Genomic DNA, 18768 nt, shown 5'->3' with positions numbered 1-18768 from the left:
GCTGGTGGACTGACCCCAGATCCTCACCCCTGACTGAGGCTGTGCTGGTGGACTGACCCCAGATCCTCACCCCTGACTGAGGCTGTGCTGGTGGACTGACCCCAGATCCTCACCCCTGACTGAGGCTGTGCTGGTGGACTGACCCCAGATCCTCACCCCTGACTGAGGCTGTGCTGCTGGACTGACCCCAGATCCTCACCCCTGACTGAGGCTGTGCTGCTGGACTGACCCCAGATCCTCACCCCTGACTGAGGCTGTGCTGGTGGACTGACCTAGATCCTCAGCCCTGAGTGGAGGTTGTGCTAGTGGATTGACCTAAATCCTCAGTCCTGAGTGGAGGTTGTGCTGGTGGACTGACCTAGATCCTCAGCCCTGAGTGGAGGTTGTGCTGGTGGATTGACCTAAATCCTCAGCCCTGAGTGGAGGTTGTGCTGGTGGACTGACCTAAATCCTCAGTCCTGAGTGGAGGTTGTGCTGGTGGATTGACCTAAATCCTCAGTCCTGAGTGGAGGTTGTGCTGGTGGACTGACCTAGATCCTCAGTCCTGAGTGGAGGTTGTGCTGGTGGATTGACCTAAATCCTCAGTCCTGAGTGGAGGTTGTGCTGGTGGACTGACCCTAGACCCTCAATCCTGGCTGAAGCTGTGCTGGTGTACTGACCTAGATCCTCACCCCTGAGTGAGGCTGTGCTGGTGGATTGACCTAGATCCTCACCCCTGAGTGAGGCTGTGCTGGTGGATTGACCTAGATCTTCACCCCTGAGTGACGTTGTGCTGGTGGAGTCACCTTGGATCCTCACTCCTGGGTGGAGCTTCTGCTGGTGCGCTGACCCTAGATCCCTGGCTGAGGTTATGCTGGTAGACTGTCCTAGATCCTTACCCCTGACTGAGGCTGTGCTGGTGGGACTGACCTTAGATTCTCACTCCTCAGTGGAGCTTGTGCTGGTGTGCTGACCCTAGATCCTCACCCCTGACTGAGGCTGTGCTGGTGGACTGACCCTAGATCCTCACCCCAACTGAGGCTGTGCTGGTATGCTAACCCTAGATCTTCACCCCGACTGAGGCTGTGCTGGTGGACTGACCCTAGATCCTCACCCCTGACTGAGGCTGTGCTGGTGGACTGACCCTAGATCCTCACCCCTGACTGAGGCTGTGCTGGTGGACTGACCTTAGATCCTCATCCCTGGCTGAGGCTGTGCTGATGGACTGACCCTAGATCCTCATCCTTGACTGAGGCTGTGCTGGTGGACTGACCTTAGATCCTCACCGCTGGCTGAGGCTGTGCTGGTGGACTGACCCTAGATCCTCAACTCTGACTGAGGCTGTGCTGGTGGACTGACCCTAGATCCTCATCCTTGACTGAGGCTGTGCTCGTGGACTGACCCTAGATCCTCAACTCTGACTGAGGCTGTGCTGGTGGACTGACCCTAGATCCTCACCGCTGGCTGAGGCTGTGCTGGTGGACTGTCCTGGATCCTCACCCTGACTAGGGCTCTGGCAGCACCATGCAGCCTCCCAGGATAGTCTGGCTCCTGTTGGCAGAGCCCCTCCTCTTTCTCCTATCTTCAGATCAGTGCTGTGGAGCTCTGAGGCTAGGGGATTCTGGAGTTTCCAGCTGCTGGTGAGGGGAGAGGGCAGGCAGCAGATCCTGGAGAGTGAGATGTGATCTGCAAGCCTCGAGACATCCCTGCACCCCAGCAAAAGCCAGGGTTGCTGGCCTCCTTGGTCCTGACTTCCTCTCCTGTGGATGTCTGGTTCTAGCTTCATGGGGAATTGGCACTAGAAAAACTCAGGCCTTTGTGGATGGAAGCCAGAGTTTCTGTTGCCAGCATGGAGCCCAGGGTGCCCAGGCTGTCCATCCAGGTGTGCTGCCCAGCTCCCGTACCTGAGCCAGGAGATGCCCCTGGTCAGGCTGGTGAGGTGGGCGGGGTGGGGGAGGGGCCCATGGATCTCAGGAGCAGACTCTGGGGCTGTGGGCTCATGCACAATGAGACCGCAACACCCTTGGCAGACTGGCTCCCAGGAAGGTCCTGGTTTCTATCTAGGAATGTTTCTCACTGCCATTTAGACTTGAGCCCACCTTGGCTGGTGAGCAGGGAGGCTATGGGGTGGGAAGACAAGTTTCTGGGCATTTCCTACCCAAGTATGGGTCAGCGTGGCTCTGCTAGGAGGTTTAATGCATTTATTCGCACATTCACTACCCAGAGTGCTTGTTATGGCAAGGCCTGTGCCAGTGCCCCAGGCGCACAGAGGATCTGATGGGGTCTCTAGGCCAGGGAGCTTATCAGTTACTCCACGGGATGGGTGGTCAGTGCCTCACTAACACTGATGGGATAAAATAAATTGCCTAACAAACTAAGACTAGCTGAGAGGTCCTGCAACAGGTAGTCCTCCCCAGAAAAACCAGCTCTTTCCTGCACTTCTGCACAGCCTCTCCCACCCCATAGACACTCCATGGCCCCACCTCTGGGTGGGTTCTGGTTACTGGGACGGCAATGTTGGCTTGGAATGTGTGGCCTCACCTGGAGCTCCTTGGTCTCCTTTCTGTCCTGGGACTCCCACAGGGCCTGGAAGGGTGTTGGCCTCTCCTGGGTCACCTCTTTCCCCAGGAGGGCCTGGGAAGCCTGGGTCTCCGTGGATGTCAGAACCTGTGGAAGAGTTATAACAGCAGCTGATGTCGGTGTTTCCAACCATACAGTTGACTTTCCTAAGTGAAAGAACAGCTTGGGGTGCCTCAAAAGCAAAGAAACAGAGGCAGCCATGGTGATTTCAGCTTGCATTGCAATATATGGCCTCCAGGTCACAGGAGCTGAGATTTGGAAGGGATCTTACAGAGATCACAGTGGAAGCCCTTGGCTCTATGGATAAGAGGATCGAGGCCCATCAGAGGGTTCAAATTCACAGAAACAGTGGGTCAAGGAGCTGGGACCCCTCCCGGGCCTCTAGGCTCCTGGGGGCTTCTCTTCAGGCTATGCTTAATTAGGTTTTCAAAGTAAACACTATCTAAAGTCTTCCCCCTTCTCCTATCAGGTGCTCATCGCCATCATGGCAGGAAACAGCAAGACAACTTGACGAGGATTTCCCGCCACTCGCCCACTGGAACTGTAATGGAGTGTTAATGACGCAGGAGTGCGTGAATTTACGTGTAATATACACACATACAAATTCACCTGTAGACAGAGCAATATTTGGTTATATGAAATGTCTACAAACAGCACATTCTAAAAGCAGCTTTAGGATTATGGGTCTTTTTTTCCTCTTAAATGTGTTAATTTTTTTTTTTTTTAAGACGGAGTCTCGCTCTGTTGCCCAGGCTGGAGTGCAGTGGCGCGATCTCGGCTCACTGCAAGCTCCGCCTCCCGGGTTCACGCCATTCTTCTGCCTCAGCCTCCCGAGTTAAATGTGTTTAAATGTGTTAATTTTTTTTTCTCCACTGAACATAAATAATTTGTATAAATTGAAAAGAAAACAAGGTTATCTTTTGAAAAAAAGACATAATAATAAAATGATTCCCCACTTAGTGCCTGATGTCCTTCAAATGTTATTTTATTAGTCCTATAATAGATTTCAAAATTAAATGAAAAGACAAGGACATTAAAATTTAGGATGAAAATAGCTGAATTTAAAATAAAGAAGTTCCAAGAAGCTGCCAAGCCTTCCTGCACTATGCTATCTCAGCTTCTTGGGGAGGACAGGGTTAAAGGGAGGCCTTCTGTGGGAAAGTCTGATGATCCTTTTGAGGATCATCCAGTTGCTGTTATTATACCCTGGAAGGGCTCAGGATGGAAACCTTATTCTGCCATTGGCTTTTGGAAATAATGAGTCTTTATATCCCCATTCAGGGAAAAATGTGTGCTACAGTAGTTTATAAAATAAGCCAGAAAGTGCTATGAAAGTTGTTAGTTTCTTTTTCCTGTGGTAAGAAGCCCTTGGTTCACCTTGCTATGGACTGATTGTGTCATTCTCCCCAACCCCAAAGTTCCTAAGTGGAAGCCCTAACTCCAGTGTGATGGCATTTGGAGCAGGGGCCTTTGGGAGGTGATTAGGGTTAGGCCAGGTCATGAGGGTGGGGCCCCAAGATGGGGTTACTGCCCTTATAAGAAGTGACAGGGGAGAGCGGGTGCTCTCCCTCGTGAGGACACAGCGAGCAGCCAGGACGCGGCCCCCCCCAGAACCCGACCACGCTGGCATGCTGATCCCAGCCTCCAGAACTGGGAGGAAACCCATTTTGGTTGTTTTTGGCTCCCAGCCTGTGGGTGCCCAAGCGCTATCACTGTCTCCAGCATCAGAACTGCCCAGGGGCAGGTGGAAACCGCTGGCTTCCTTAGGCCAACAAAATGAAAGATCACAGACAGGCAATGGGCAGAGTGAACACTCCAGACACCTGAGGGGCGCAGGTGCATCCCACCCTCCCAACGGTGCTGCTGAAAAAGCAAGGACTCTATTTCTCTCTCCGTCTAAAAGCCTGATGAGTCCATTCAACCCAGCAACTGCCTTGAGAAACCGATTCTTAGGGATCACATCTTAGCAGCGTACAGGACCACAGGGCCCGGACCCGCCCCTCACGGCCGATCGCATAGCACTTCAGGAAGCCCACCCTGCTCTCTGAGACCCTCCATTCCCTGAAGTCTGGAGGGCAGACTCAGCACAGAGTCCCCACCCTCGACACCTCTGCGTGGGACTCGGGGCTGGGACGGCACAGAGTACCTGGGGATCCTGGAAAGCCCTTGGTGCCTGGCAAGCCGTGTAAGCCGCGGATCCCACGGAGTCCCGGAAAACCTGCGGGGGTGTCACTCATCGTTATTTATTTCACCTGCGGGGGTGTCACTCATCGTTATTTATTTCACCTGCGGGGGTGTCACTCATCGTTATTTCACCCATGGGGGTGTCACTCATCGTTATTTCACCCATGGGGGTGTCACTCATCGTTATTTCACCTGTGGGGGTGTCACTCATTGTTATTTCATGTGTGGGACAGCACAGGGGGTTCTGGGTGGGAGAAACCCTCAAGATAACTCAGATGTGTTTTGTTGGCTCTGAAACTGTCACCTGATACTGTCACCCATACAATCCTGCTAAAGCCCCACAAATAGGAAGCAGCTAAGCCACACGCTCAACTTACACGACATGTAAACTAAGCACTCTTATGTTACCTAGGAACACCATTGAACTGGAACACTGTCTTCATAGAATCTTTTTAACAGACTCACTAGGCCAGAAGGGGCCTGGGGAGTGACATGTCCCATGCCTCTTCTTGACGCCTCGCCACTGCTGTATGTTTGGTTTGTAAAAGCTGCTTGGAACAAATAGCCCGGTGTCATTTCCATTCCCTCTGGATTTCTGAGGGTAAATATTTCTAAAGCAGGACACAGCAAACAGGTGGCAATTCCTTCTGTTACATGGGCAGTGAGCATGGCAGGGTGGCCCGTCTCGGGGCTGTAAGGAGGCCCCGGGGGTGGCCCGTGCAGCACAGTGGTACACTGAGGCTGCTCCTGCACCCTGATCTTGCTGTGCGTCCCTGTGTGGCGATGACAAGTGGACCCTGAAGCCTCTCTGGGAGGCTTTCATTCATCCTTCTGGGAGGTGAAGCCCTGGGCAGATTTGTGCATCTGGCTTGATTCCCAGTTGCCTGGGGCGCCAGTATACCCTGTGCTGCTATGTTGGTGCAGACCACCGTAAGCCACAGCAGACCTGCCTTTGCTCTCGTATGGGCCTTAGAAGTCGCCCTGAGAGAGGCTGGCCTGCTCAGCGGTGCCTCCTGCACAGCCCACGACTCTGGGTCTGGGTGACCACGTGTTTTACGTGACCTTACCTGGTAAGCCCGGAGCTCCCGGCCAGCCATCATCTCCTTTGCCACCAGGCAGTCCAATCCGCCCCAGCTCTCCCTGCGACCCTGGAGGCCCAGTCAGCCCTGGAAAGCCTGGGGGTGAACACAGCATTAAGTCTGAGCACACAGGACACCTTGGGCGCTGTGTGGTGAGGTCCTGGCAGGAGGGGCAGCCGCTCTGGGAGGGGCCGAGGGCCGGAAGGGCCGCAGTGCCAGTTGGAGGAGAGATTAGAACTGTCCCTCAAGCTGGGGATGCAGGTGGTCTTAGACCCCACATACAAATTCAATAGGATTTGCTCAGCCTTGCCAGAGAGAAAATAGCGTGTAGTTTTAATTGTCGCCCTATTATCCAAATAGACGTCTGGAGAGGACCCTGAGGCAGTGCCTGGAGAGATGAGCCTCTTGGCATTCCCCGGTGCTGAGTAAACACAGAAAGCAGCAGCAGCAACAGCGTGGGAAGCCAGCCCACTGTCCGCTCTCCTTCTCTAACCTAGGATGTTCATAGGGGTTTCTGCATATTCAATGCAAGCAAAGGGATCCCTTACAAACCGTCGGCTTCTATATGAGAGACAGAGGCTCAACCGAAGAGGCACTTCTCATTCACCCCCATGCTTCTCTCCAATTCTCAGGTCTCCCCCCAGCCCAGGTGGTTGTTTCTCTCCATGCCATCAGCACTGAGGAAAGCTCCTAAGCTGGCAGCAGGCACGAGTGAGCTTCCAGGGTTGGGTGTGATTGGAGGAAATTGACAATGTTGACCGCCTTTGTTCTGGGGTCTCCGGAGGGCCTGCCTGAGGAAGGCTGTGTGGCTGCGGGAGATTTTACCTGTTTGTCCTTTAAGTCCAGGAGGGCCTTGGACTCCAGTCACGCCTGTTATCCCAGGGAAGCCGATGTCACCTTCTGTTCCCTTCTCTCCAAAGAATCCCTTCAGACCTGCAACCACAGACATGCTGCTTGGAACAAACAGACACCGCGCCCCTGTGGGTTCCCTGGAACCCCGGCTCTAGGATGTGCAGAACCACACTGCTGCTCCTTCAGGAATGGAGAGAGGCATCCAACCGTGCTCCTTCCTTAGCTGATTTTTAACCTACTTCCTCCCTCTGAGCCTGCACTAGCCAGCTTCCAAGGCAGCACCCATGTACCCATGCACCCCTCACTGTCTTAGGGAAAACAGGACACCCCCAGGGATGATGGGTACAGCTGGCCCCACCCTTCCATTGTGGGACCACAGCTCCGAAATACCGTCTTCTGGTGATGGATGCAGGGGAGGCTCCACTCCAAAGCCTTTCTGGGCCCAGAGTTTAACAAAAACCAAAATGTTCAAAGGTAACAGCAAAAATAATTCTTGGGTGGGGGTAGCGTCTCTTCCCTGACACATTTTCAGTTGAACAAGTGAAGGCATCATTAGAGACGCGTGGTAATGATGGTCCACGTTTCTGTGTTTATAAACCAAATGGCCGGACTAATGGCCTAGGGTGGCAGACACAGCCAGCCCAGCGCCGGATGGCTCAGCAGTACAGAGCTCCCGTCACTCAGGAGGAAGCCACCGGGAGCCCAGGTCACAGATAACAAAGGAGCCCGGGAGGGCTGGTAAACAGAGGCGCCTATTTCCCAGCGGCGGTTCTCTGATCCTGTGCTCAACTGAACACGTCTTTCCATTCCAGAGCAATTTCTAGATAAAGAACTGGCCCAGCAGTCTCCCCACTGGCCAACCCTGGACAGACTCCTTCCCTCCCACCAGGGCCAGCCCTGCAAGCCCCTGGGGCTCCAGCAACTTGAGCAGTGTGGGGTCCCCCCAAAAGAAAATCCCCAGAAAGAAGAAAACTATCACAGTCCCCTTGAGACGTCACTGCAGGCAGGAATTTAGGAGTGGAACCTCAGTGATGTGCAGAAGGGAAGGGAGGCACTGTGCCGCCCCAGGCCCCCACAACTCGCTCGGGCTGGTCAGCTGCCTCCATATCTCTCTCAAGCGATGGCCTGACTCCCACTCCCCCTTTCCTGGACCCTTCGCTGTTTCTGAGAAGCTCGGGTCAGCGACCACCTGCTGCACGCCCTCAGGTGTTCCGGGAGTCAGGGTGCTAGCTGGCTTTTCATCAGTTACACTTTATGGACTGCAGTGATTCTCATCCACCGAGGGTCCATTCTGGCTTTTTTCAGTATCAAAGAGAGAGACAGAGAGAGAGAAAGACTTCCTGATTTTATCTTCAGATTTAACTTAATTAAAAACGACGGTCTTTCTTGCACATTGGACTTGAAGACCTCATTCACTATCAAGTGCTTTCTGGTTGTTACTGAATTTGATCTGTTTGGCAAGTCGGGCTCCTAGACAAAGGCTCAGGGCTGTTGTTGAAGATGAAGACAAGGAAAATAACTTGCGTACCTGGTATTCCAGTGGTGCCCCGCTCCCCCTTCAGGCCTGGTCTTCCTGGTAAATTTATAGTGTCCCCGATGTCACCTGTTACATGCAAAAAAGACGGCTAAGAACAGGACTTTCCACTGGGACTTTGTGAGTTTTGCAACTTCTATTTTGTTATATTCCTAACAAGAATAATTTGTTTTAAAATACCTAACAGCACTTGCAGGTCTGAAATTGGCTCACATGCTCAGAGAGCTCTGAATTGTGGACTCCCTGTTTTCACTGGACGGGCAACACTCACCGAAATCACCAGTCGCGCCAATCTCGCCATACAGGCCTGCTCTCCCTGGGGCACCTTTGTCACCCTAAAGACAGACATGAACCATCTTAGAAGGCTGTTAGCGAAGTCAGTTGTAACTCTGAAGTTAGCTCACTTATTTAACTATCCAGTATGCTAACGACAATACTCAAGGTTTGTGATCTTGTCATTTTGTGGAAAACTCGTGTTTTTTAGTGTGTATCATAGGCGGTTTGCTTAGCTGTTCTTTTTGTTTATTTATTTATTTATTTCTTTGAGACAGGATCGCAGTCTGTCACCCTGGCTGGAGTGCAGAAGCACAATCATAGCTCAATGTTGCCTTGATTTCCTGGGCTCAAGTCATCCTTCCGTCTCAGCCTCCTGTGCAGCTGGGATTACAGGTGTGAGCCACTAAGCCTGGCTGCTAATAGTTTTTAAATTTTTAGTAGAGATGGGCTCTTGCTCTGTTGCCCAGGCTGGTCTTGAACTCCTGGGTTCAAGTGATTCTCTCTCCTCTGCTTCCCAAAGTGCTGGGATTACAGGCGTGAGCCACTGCACCTGGCCTTGCTGTTCTTATGGAACTGTGAAGTGATACAATGAAACAAGCTTGGCAACTGCATCATAATGAAGAGCATCAGTGGCCCAGGTCTCCATCACGACAGTGTGGTGATGTCAGCGGCGGCGGTGACTCTGACTACATCCTCGCTCCACCATGCTTTCCCGCGTGCACATGGTGGACCCCGTCTCAAGAGCGTATTCACGCCTCATGAAAACCCTGCCAGGCAGGCACCGTTACTTCCCAATGACAGGCAAAGGAACTGAAGCACAGAAAGGTTTTGCTTAAGGTCACTCAGCCAGCAAGTGGCAGAACCGGGATTTCAGTTTGGGCAGCCAGACTGCAGAGCTTGCTCTCTGCAGATTATAACACAGATATGGGGCTGTGCGCCTCCATCTGTGCACAGAGGGAGACTTCTCCAGAAAGACACAGGTGGCTGGTAAGGAAATTGAGAAGATGCCTGAGTTGCTCGGTGGCTTCCTGGAAGCCCTAGTTTTCCCCTCCAGAGTGGCTTCCTCCCCAGAGGGAGCATGAGAGTTCTGGTCTACCTGGGTGCCACTGGGACTTTAGTACTACAGCATCAATGTACAAGCATGGCCTAACATGAGTCGCTGCAGTATTAATATAGCTAGGCCGGGGGTGGTGGCTCAGGCCTAGAATCCCAGCACTTTGGGAGGCCGAGGTGGGTGGACTGCCTGAGGTCAGGAGTTCAAGACCAGCCTGGCCAACATGGTGAAACCCTGTCTCTACTAAAAATACAAAATTAGCTGGGCGTGGTGGCGTGCGCCTGTAATCCCAGCTACTTGGGAGGCTGTGGCAGGGGAATCGCTTGAACCAGGAGGCAGTGGTTGCAGTGAGCTAAGATCATGCCATTGCACTCCAGCCTGGGTGACAGAGTGAGACTCTGTCTCAAAAAACAAAACAAAACAAAACAAAAGCTCCTTTGTGGGAGGAAGGGGGAGGGTATCCACAGGCTGCACCTTTGTTTAGGTAATGCTCTATTTTTCTTTCTCAAAGCTTACTTTTCTGAAGCAAAACTTAAATACAGTAATGTCCACTCATCTTAAACGCACAGCTCAATGCATCTGAACTCGTGTGTCACTGAAAGACACAGAACACTGTCAGCACTCTATGACAACCCCACCTAAAGCAGCTGTGCTCCCGATACCCCATCTAACAGCCTTGTCAGTTCTTGAACTTCACATCGATGAAACTGAATCGTGTACTTTTCTGTTTCTGGTTTATTTTGTTCAACATAAAGTTTGGAAATGAAGTTAGGTTGTTGGATTTTACCAAGAATTCTCATTTATTGCTGTGTATGGAGATAAAATGCACAGATAATGCTGTGTCTGGTTAGAATATACCACGTTCATTTATTCTTTTCCCTGTTGATGGACATTTGGGCTGTTTCCTAGTTTCGAGCTGTTATGAATAAAGGTCCTTTGGATGTTGTAGGTGTCTTTGGCAGAAACAGGCATCTTTCTTTTTTCTTGTCTTTTTTTTGAGATGGAGTCTTGCTTTGTCACCCAAGCTGGAGTGCAACGGCGCAATCTCGGCTCACTGCAACCTCCGCCTCCTGGGTTCCAGCGATTCTTCCGCCTCGGCCTCCCCAGTAGCTGGGATTATGAGTGCGCAGCACCAAACCCGGTTAATTTTTTATATTTTTGGTAGAGACGGGGTTTCACCCTGTTGGCCAGGCTAGTCTCGATCTCCTGACCACAAGTGATCTGCCTGCCTTGGCCTCCCAAAGTGCTGGGATTATAGGCAAGAGCCACTGCACCTGGCTGGCATCTTTCTTTTTTAAAGTGACCTGAATAGCACACACAGACTGGCTAGAAGATACTCTCAGCTGCAGATTTTGGGAGTGAGGGGAGGAAGACCCCTGAAGAATTCTGTACACCAAGGTGGGCCAGACAGACACACAGGCAGGCCCTGGCCTGCTACTAAGGGTTCACACTGTCAGGCCTCTGAGCCCAAGCTAAGCAATCATATCCCCTGTGACCTGCACGTACACATCCAGATGGCCGGTTTCTGCCTTAACTGATGACATTCCACCACAAAAGAAGTGAAAATGGCCTGTTCCTGCCTTAACTGATGACATTATCTTGTGAAATTCCTTCTCCTGGCTCAGCCTGGCTCAAAAGCTCCCCTACTGAGCACCTTGTGACCCCCACTCCTGCCCGCCAGAGAACAACCCCCCTTTTTCCTTTACCTACCCAAATCCTATAAAACGGCCCCACCCCTATCTCCCTTCGCTGACTCTCTTTTCAGACTCAGCCTGCCTGCACCCAGGTGAAATTAACAGCTTGATTGCTCACACAAAGCCTGTTTGGTGGTCTTTTCACACGGACGCGACTGAAACACATCAAGGGGCCCAGACCTTCTGATCTGCTCCAAATGTGCCCATCCCCCTGGGAAGGCCAGCCGTGTGCTAGGGACTGTGAGAATACACTATCTTCATATGAACGAGGCTAGAAATGGAATTCTAGGAAACGGAATCTATGGGGAGCCACGCTGTGCTATGTTATACACACTGTCTATACAGCACTCAAGAAAACTGCAAGGTAGCTACTACCTTCATTCTGCAGCTGAGGGAGAAGGTGTGGAGAAGAGAGCCCTGCCCAGGGTCAGGGCTCACCATTGTTACCATCACAACAGCGTGTCTGGCCCATGTCAAGTGCTCAACAGACATCCGCTGAACAAAGGCTGAGTGAACGGTGGCCCGGATGGGAAGCCAGGCTGCCGGGCCCAGGTCTACGCTGTGATTCGGCCATGGGCTCTCAGGCCTGGTGTCACTGATGTGCTCAATTTTAGAGCTCTGATCCCTGAAAATTCAAGTTTTGTTCTCTCAAGGCCACCATGAAAAATGCAGACAACATGCTTCACCCAGCACAAGCCCACAGAAGGGCCACGGCAGCCGGTTGGACTCACATCACATCTGCATGGTGTCCAAGTGCAGCAGCTCCTTCCAGGGCTGTGTGGACCCCACCAAGCCTGAGGCTGCCCTGAACCTGCCACTGACACTCTCACCCTAGCAAATTCCAGACCAAAGCATGTCCATTCACAAGCAAAGGGGAGAGGAGCTCACAGAACAAGGGGAGTAAAAGACGCCCACTCACCCGGCTTCCTATGAATCCTGGGAATCCCGTAATTCCAGGGGGGCCAGCCACCCCAGGGAATCCTGGCAAACCGGGGATGCCGGGGACTCCGATGTCTCCCTTGACTCCTTTGATGTGGCCGGGCCTCCCAGGCAGCCCAGGGATTCCTGACAGCCCTGGGATGCCTGGCATTCCTTGGATACCTGCAGGAAGACCCTGGTGTGTAACACTCTGGTGAGGACGCAGCACCCGCCCTCCAGTTTTCAATTTTGCAGCCTGGATGCATTTTGCTGTCCTACGTGCTGTGAATCTTTTTTTTTTTTTTTTTTTTTTTTGAGACGGAGTCTCGCTCTGTCGCCCAGGCTGGAGTGCAGTGGCGCAATCTCGGCTCACTACAAGCTCTGCCTCCCCGGTTCACGCCATTCTCCTGCCTCAGCCTCCTAAGTAGTTGGGACTACAGGCGCCCACCACCATGCCGGCTAATTTTTTTGTATTTTTAGTAGAGACGGGGTTTCACCGTGTTAGCCAGGATGGTCTTGATCTCCTCACCTTGTGATCCACCCGCCTCGGCCTCCCAAAGTGCTGGGATTACAGGCGTGAGCCACCGCGCCCGGCCAGTGCTGCAAATCTTAAGATGGGAAACCGAGGTTACTCAGGCATCAGAGAACAACCCTGCGCCAGCTATGGACACACAGGGCGCCCAGAGATGAAAAGCACGAAGAAAGCCAGGTGGAGGGCACGGGCGTCTCTGGGGACGGAGAAGGGCACGAGCTGGTGCGGGCTGGGGCGGCAGGGACTAGGGGCCCCTGGCTGCAGGTCAGAAGCCTCACCTTTTGCGCCCAGGTATCCTTTCAGCCCCATAGGCCCTTCATCTCCTTTCTCTCCTTTAATGTCTTTCATTCCTGGCAGGATGACAGGAGGTGGTCCTGGGGGCCCAGGGTCCCCTCGGCTGCCTGGAAGGGAATAGAGTGCTGTCATTTTCTGGGGGCTCCAGACCACGCAGGAGAACACAGGTGAAGGCCTGGTCCCTGAGCCATAGGGCTGCACGTCTCCCCCAAGCAGGGAAGCCTTGGAGAGAGACCAAGGGCGCCGGAGAAGCCTCTCCTGTGTCCATCGGAGTAGTTGGAGTTGGGGGTGGCTCCAGGGTCCTGGGCCTGGGGCTGGTGTCACTGAGCACACAGCACCACAGTAGGGGGACGTGCCTGCCAGCAGATGCAGAGGGAGCGGTCAAAGCCAGTGTGACTCCCATAGGATGCTTTGTGAGAAGGTCATTTTGTTGTGTGTGCTCTGATGAGACCATGATGGACCTCGGTCACAAGCAGGAAGGCCCGTGAGGCAGGCGCCAGCTCCGTGCCCTCCTGTAGGCACCTTCACAGGGAGGAGAAGCATGGAAGGGAGGTCTCCGGGGGGTTCTGAGGAGCTGAGAAATTGCAGGAGGGGAGGGGCCCAGAGCTGCGGGCCGGGCGGGAAACTGTGCTAGTTCAGGCTGGGGATGCCCCGGAATCCATGCTCACTGGAGGAGTAAGTGAAATCTGGCTCAGTGAAAATAATTGAGCTTCAGTCTCTAAGCATTTACTGTGTATTCAGTACTAGGCTAGAGGCTGATGGGATCAAAATCATAAATTGGTCCTGACCCCACAGAGCGTGCCCACCAGTGGAGGGACAGACACCCCCATGGTTAACTTCACCCTAAGGAGGCTCGAGGAAATAATTACCATGGAGCTGAAAATTACTTAATCTTAAAATGTCATTTTTTTTTTTTGCCTGAAATAGCCTGAAATCTCTGCTAACAGGAAGACTATTTGAAAGCACAAGTGTGAGTAAAAATCTTAAAAAAAATGAGCACCCTAGATTGCAATTTTTATTTTGCTGAAAATTTGTAAAAGCTGTAAGTCTGAAGAGTAATTAAGGTTTTCCAAAACAGCTTATTGATGTATAATTTATATACCCTACAACTCGCTCCAGTAAACAGAACAATTACATAACTTTAGTGTACTCACAGAGCTGTGAGCAAGCAGCACCGTCTAACTTGAGAACACTTTATCCCAGAAAATGAAACCCTGGAGCCGCTGGCAGCCATGCCCTAATTCTCCCCTAACCCTTCAGCTTTAGGAAACTGCGAATCCATCGCTTCTCGGCCTTTTGGCTAAGATCAAGTGTAGGAAACTGCGAATCCACTTTTCATTTCTGTAAACTTGCTTACTGGGGACATCTCATATACATGCAGTCAGACGACACGTGGCATAGTGTTCTCAAGGCTCGCCCACGCGCCATGTCTGAGAGCCCCATCCTTCCTCAGCACTGAATGTGCCCTTGCACAGCTCTGCCATATTTTACTCATCCATTCATCAGTCGATGCATTTTCAGGCTGTTTCCAATTATGGCTGCTATAAAGGATGCTGCCATGAGATTTGTGTCCACATTTTTGTCTGTACCTATGTTTTCAATGATCTTCATCTAGGAGTAGAACTTCTGGGTAACTCTATGCTTAGTTTCTTAATGAACTGCCAAACTGTTTGGCACACTGGCCGCAGCGTTTTACACTCCTGCTGGCAGCCTGTGAAGGTTCCCATTTCTCCACCTCCTCACCAACACACACTCTTAGTCATTACGTTTTTAGAGACCACTGTGATTATTTCAGAACAAAAGCATCTGAACAGAAGTCATGAAAATGTGACTTGTTAGTAATAAACTCAATGAACGAGGGGCCTTACGTGGGGGGTCTTGAGATGCCTGTCCGCGTGAGGGTTTGAACCCACCTCATGTGTGGACCACGTTCTCTCTGGCACCGTGTTATGTCCTTCCACCTGGAAAGCTGTGTCCTCCTGTGCCTGGTGGTACTCCCTTCTCTGGGAACTCACCTGTCCCCTGCTTTTCACCGCCCCCTCTTCATGTTTACCACGGTATAATCATGGTGGAATATGTTTCATGACATATTTGGTTCTTAGCGATGCCATCATTTTGGTTCTCAAGAGTTTCCTTTGGTTAGGATTATTCCCTTATCACATGGTCAGTGTGTTGAGGCAGGGATAAAGCCTTTGAGTTTTTGTTAGCTCATTTTGTTTGTTTTGTCTAGCTTTAGGGTTCCTGGATGCATGGGTTTTCAAAAATTCATTCTGGGCAATGTTATGCCACCAAGAAAGGGTAAGGAGGATGCCACCATGACCAGGTAAGGAGGATGTTAAGAGAGGGACATACCTTTAAAACCTGGCTCACCAGCCAGACCCTTCAGACCGGGTATTCCGAAAAATCCAGCCTCGCCTTTGCTCCCTGGAAACCCGGGTCTCCCTTTGAGTCCAGGCATGCCTTGGAAACCATCCATCCCAGGTGAGCCTCTATCTCCTTCAGAGGAAAAGAGAAAAGTGCTGGGTTAGACATGAATAAAATGCATGGGACATTTCAGTCTCACGTCTCCGTAACATTTCGGCAATGTAACTCAAGTGAGAAGATTCTGAACCTAAAATAGGGATTTCCGGGGACACCATCTTCTAAGCAACTTCTCTCTGTTGACCTCTGCTGTTAACAGACAGCATTCCAGAATCAGCCTGTCTTCAGACCGGACATTGGCAACAAGGAAACACACAAAGATCAGGCAGGAAGGCTAGGAGGGAAATCTGAAGATGATGCAGGTTCACTGGCCCACAGGCCCATCAAGACAAAGGCAGAGGAGCACGCTGGAAAGGAAGGCAGCAGTAACACTGCACCTGGCATGGAGATGCGACACAGGACCGCAGAAAGTCAGACCAATGTCGCCAGCACCGGAAGGAGAGGTCAAGGTGTCTCCAGCAACAGAAAGACAGACTCATATGTCTCTAGTAATGGAAAGACCAACCCATGTGTCTCCAGCAATGGAAGGACCGACCAATGTGTCTCCAGCAACGGAAGGACAGAACAGTGTGTCTCCAGCACGGAGGGACAGAGCAGTGTGTCTCCAGCACGGAGGGACAGAGCAGTGTGTCTCCAGCACGGAGGGACAGAGCAGTGTGTCTCCAGCACGGAGGGACAGAGCAGTGTGTCTCCAGCAACGGAGGGACAGAGCAGTGTGTCTCCAGCAACGGAGGGACAGAGCAGTGTGTCTCCAGCAATGGAGGGACAGAACTGTGTGTCTCCAGCAACGGAGGGACAGAACAGTGTGTCTCCAGCAATGGAAGGACAGAACAGTGTGTCTCCAGCAATGGAAGGACAGAACTGTGTGTCTCCAGCAACGGAAGGACAGAACAGTGTGTCTCCAGCAACGGAGGGACAGAACAGTGTGTCTCCAGCAACGGAGGGACAGAACAGTGTGTCTCCAGCAATGGAAGGACAGAGCAGTGTGTCTCCAGCAACGGAGGGACAGAACAGTGTGTCTCCAGCAATGGAAGGACAGAACTGTGTGTCTCCAGCAACGGAGGGACACAGCAGTGTGTCTCCAGCAACGGAGGGACAGAACAGTGTGTCTCCAGCAATGGAGGGACAGAACAGTGTGTCTCCAGCAACGGAGGGACAGAACAGTGTGTCTCCAGCAACGGAGGGACAGAACAGTGTGTCTCCAGCAATGGAGGGACAGAACAGTGTGTCTCCAGCAACGGAAGGACAGAACAGTGTGTCTCCAGCAACGGAAGGACAGAACAGTGTGTCTCCAGCAACGGAAGGACAGAACTGTGTGTCTCCAGCAACGGAGGGACAGAACAGTGTGTCTCCAGCAACGGAGGGACAGAACAGTGTGTCTCCAGCAATGGAGGGACAGAACTGTGTGTCTCCAGCAACGGAAGGACAGAACAGTGTGTCTCCAGCAACGGAGGGACAGAACAGTGTGTCTCCAGCAATGGAGGGACAGAACTGTGTGTCTCCAGCAACGGAAGGACAGAACAGTGTGTCTCCAGCAATGGAAGGACAGAACTGTGTGTCTCCAGCAACGGAGGGACAGAACAGTGTGTCTCCAGCAACGGAGGGACAGAACAGTGTGTCTCCAGCAATGGAAGGACAGAACTGTGTGTCTCCAGCAATGGAAGAACAGTGTGTCTCCAGCAACGTTCATGGGCTGGAGGGCTCTGCTTCTAGATTGGCCTGCTTGTGCTGAAATAAACCTATCCCTGTAACCAACCACTTTGCTTTGCTTTGGTTTCAAATTCACCAAATAACCTCTGGATCTGAATCTAGGCCCCTGAGTGGACCTCTCCACAAATTTCCCTGTGCAGATGGTGATATTTACAATAAGACGATGTTTCCCAGGCAGGAGCAGTTTGTCTTGGTAAATTCATAAACTGGCTTTGTGAGGCACATTGGTCCCACCCGCGTCTAAGCAGCATTAACCAGCTGTCCTGAGGCTGCTGTCTCCTAGGTCAGGAGAGTCCCAAGGCCTCCAATCTGCAGAAGTGTGAGGCCAGCCCCACGGCCCACAGAGGCGCCCAGCAGAGCTGTCTCAGGTCAGAGTTGATTAGACCCAACCTCCCCGCCAAGGGATCCCTGGTCACAGTCACACAATTACCTTTTAGCCCGGGGGTCCCAGGCATTCCATCAATTCCTTTAAATCCAGGGCTTCCTGGATGGCCTTGCTCCCCTGTGAAGCCAGCATCTCCTCTGTCACCAGAGAGACCTTTCATGCCCACAGGGCCAGGAGCGCCTGTGTCCCCAGGGTCCCCTCTATCACCAGGCAGACCTGTCAGGAAGAGGAGCAAATCAAACAGGGTGGACAAACACACACAGGGGAAATTTCTCTTCTGCTTTTACGGCATTGAGTGTTCAGTAAGAAAAGCTCCTTAGAAGGAAAGTGGAAAACCACCATGTTGGGGTGAGTTTCCAAAGTGTGGCCGGAGCGGGACCCTGGGGCTGGCCTTTCTGGAGAGGTCTGTATCTGGAGGTTGAGGCTGTGCTGGCGGGGTGCCAGCCAGCATGGCTTTCCCACTGCAGTCTTCAGAAGCCAAGGGACAAAGCTGTGTGGATGCTGATGTGAGTGGGGGCCTTGCCAGCTCTGGCTGGGGCATGGTCACTGGGGTTAGTCAAGAGCTGGCCTGTTCCTCGCGAACATCACTGGCTCCAGCCCGGAGTTAGTCCCGGGGGACCCTCCAGCTGCCCATTTGCTGCTGCTGCCCTCTCTGGTCTCCGTGCTCCCATCTCATCACTGCTACTGTCGTGAGCTTGGCAGCTCCCGCCCACAGCTGTCCTCCCGCCTCCCCCGACTCCAAGCCGTCCAAGGGCTGCCTGCTGGGTCCCTAAAATCCCTTCTTAATGCATTTCTCTGTTAAAAACTCCCAAAGGCCCCCTCTGCCTCGGGGCTCCAACTCCTTAGCTCCAGCATTCACTGCTCCCAACCTTTGGCTCAATCTTCTTATCTAAACCCCCAGCCCCCTCAAATCAGGCTCTCTTCCCCAGCCGGTTTGGGGATCACAGGCTCCAAAGTGTTCCCTGGGCAATTCTGCCTCTGCTGGGGTGGTCCCCCTTTCCTAGAGAGCACCCCACATTCCAGTCCCAGCCTTCTCCCCGCTGGCACCAGGTACTTCTCCCCTTGGGCTTGCTCTGACCTGCCTGTCCCCGCCTCCTCTGGGTCACCGGGGACCGCGTGGCCTTGTCACTCTGCTGGCTTGCCCAGGCCAAGTGGGAGCCTTTTAATGTGTGTGTCTCTCTCCCCACCTAAAGTGTAGGCTTTAGTTCAGGACAGG

The 18768-nt window shown here is 52.5% G+C and overlaps 1 protein-coding gene across 1 annotated transcript in view, besides 6 other annotated features; it reads right to left on the bottom strand.

Moving 5' to 3' along the window:
* COL4A2 (collagen type IV alpha 2 chain) overlaps positions 1–18768 on the bottom strand; it is a 205926-nt gene that overhangs the window by 15222 nt on the left and 171936 nt on the right. The window contains exons 31-40 of the mRNA NM_001846.4: positions 17598–17768; positions 15329–15472; positions 12961–13083; positions 12152–12333; positions 8480–8543; positions 8203–8277; positions 6648–6755; positions 5811–5918; positions 4706–4777; positions 2521–2646 (exon numbers count right to left, since the gene is read on the bottom strand). Of these exons, the coding sequence (NP_001837.2) occupies positions 2521–2646; positions 4706–4777; positions 5811–5918; positions 6648–6755; positions 8203–8277; positions 8480–8543; positions 12152–12333; positions 12961–13083; positions 15329–15472; positions 17598–17768 (1173 nt within the window). The remainder of the gene's footprint in view (positions 1–2520; positions 2647–4705; positions 4778–5810; positions 5919–6647; positions 6756–8202; positions 8278–8479; positions 8544–12151; positions 12334–12960; positions 13084–15328; positions 15473–17597; positions 17769–18768) is intronic.
* Positions 5227–5761: an enhancer, noted in NCBI's record as "H3K27ac-H3K4me1 hESC enhancer chr13:111144574-111145108 (GRCh37/hg19 assembly coordinates)". NCBI's record gives its function as "activates a minimal SCP1, AML or CMV promoter by ChIP-STARR-seq in primed H9 embryonic stem cells {active_cell/tissue: H9 hESC(primed)}" and the evidence as "EXISTENCE:reporter gene assay evidence [ECO:0000049][PMID:30033119]".
* Positions 5762–6297: an enhancer, noted in NCBI's record as "H3K27ac-H3K4me1 hESC enhancer chr13:111144038-111144573 (GRCh37/hg19 assembly coordinates)". NCBI's record gives its function as "activates a minimal SCP1, AML or CMV promoter by ChIP-STARR-seq in primed H9 embryonic stem cells {active_cell/tissue: H9 hESC(primed)}" and the evidence as "EXISTENCE:reporter gene assay evidence [ECO:0000049][PMID:30033119]".
* Positions 10404–11240: an enhancer, noted in NCBI's record as "OCT4-NANOG-H3K27ac-H3K4me1 hESC enhancer chr13:111139095-111139931 (GRCh37/hg19 assembly coordinates)". NCBI's record gives its function as "activates a minimal SCP1, AML or CMV promoter by ChIP-STARR-seq in naive H9 embryonic stem cells {active_cell/tissue: H9 hESC(naive)}" and the evidence as "EXISTENCE:reporter gene assay evidence [ECO:0000049][PMID:30033119]".
* Positions 11241–12078: an enhancer, noted in NCBI's record as "OCT4-NANOG-H3K27ac-H3K4me1 hESC enhancer chr13:111138257-111139094 (GRCh37/hg19 assembly coordinates)". NCBI's record gives its function as "activates a minimal SCP1, AML or CMV promoter by ChIP-STARR-seq in primed H9 embryonic stem cells {active_cell/tissue: H9 hESC(primed)}" and the evidence as "EXISTENCE:reporter gene assay evidence [ECO:0000049][PMID:30033119]".
* Positions 12079–12916: an enhancer, noted in NCBI's record as "NANOG-H3K27ac-H3K4me1 hESC enhancer chr13:111137419-111138256 (GRCh37/hg19 assembly coordinates)". NCBI's record gives its function as "activates a minimal SCP1, AML or CMV promoter by ChIP-STARR-seq in naive and primed H9 embryonic stem cells {active_cell/tissue: H9 hESC(naive and primed)}" and the evidence as "EXISTENCE:reporter gene assay evidence [ECO:0000049][PMID:30033119]".
* Positions 12917–13755: an enhancer, noted in NCBI's record as "H3K27ac-H3K4me1 hESC enhancer chr13:111136580-111137418 (GRCh37/hg19 assembly coordinates)". NCBI's record gives its function as "activates a minimal SCP1, AML or CMV promoter by ChIP-STARR-seq in naive H9 embryonic stem cells {active_cell/tissue: H9 hESC(naive)}" and the evidence as "EXISTENCE:reporter gene assay evidence [ECO:0000049][PMID:30033119]".

Source organism: Homo sapiens, chromosome 13 (assembly GCF_000001405.40).
Source record: "Homo sapiens chromosome 13, GRCh38.p14 Primary Assembly".
Classification (NCBI taxonomy): domain Eukaryota; kingdom Metazoa; phylum Chordata; class Mammalia; order Primates; family Hominidae; genus Homo; species Homo sapiens.
Note: the sequence above shows the minus strand (reverse complement) of the source record. Positions and strands in the feature narration are given on the sequence as shown.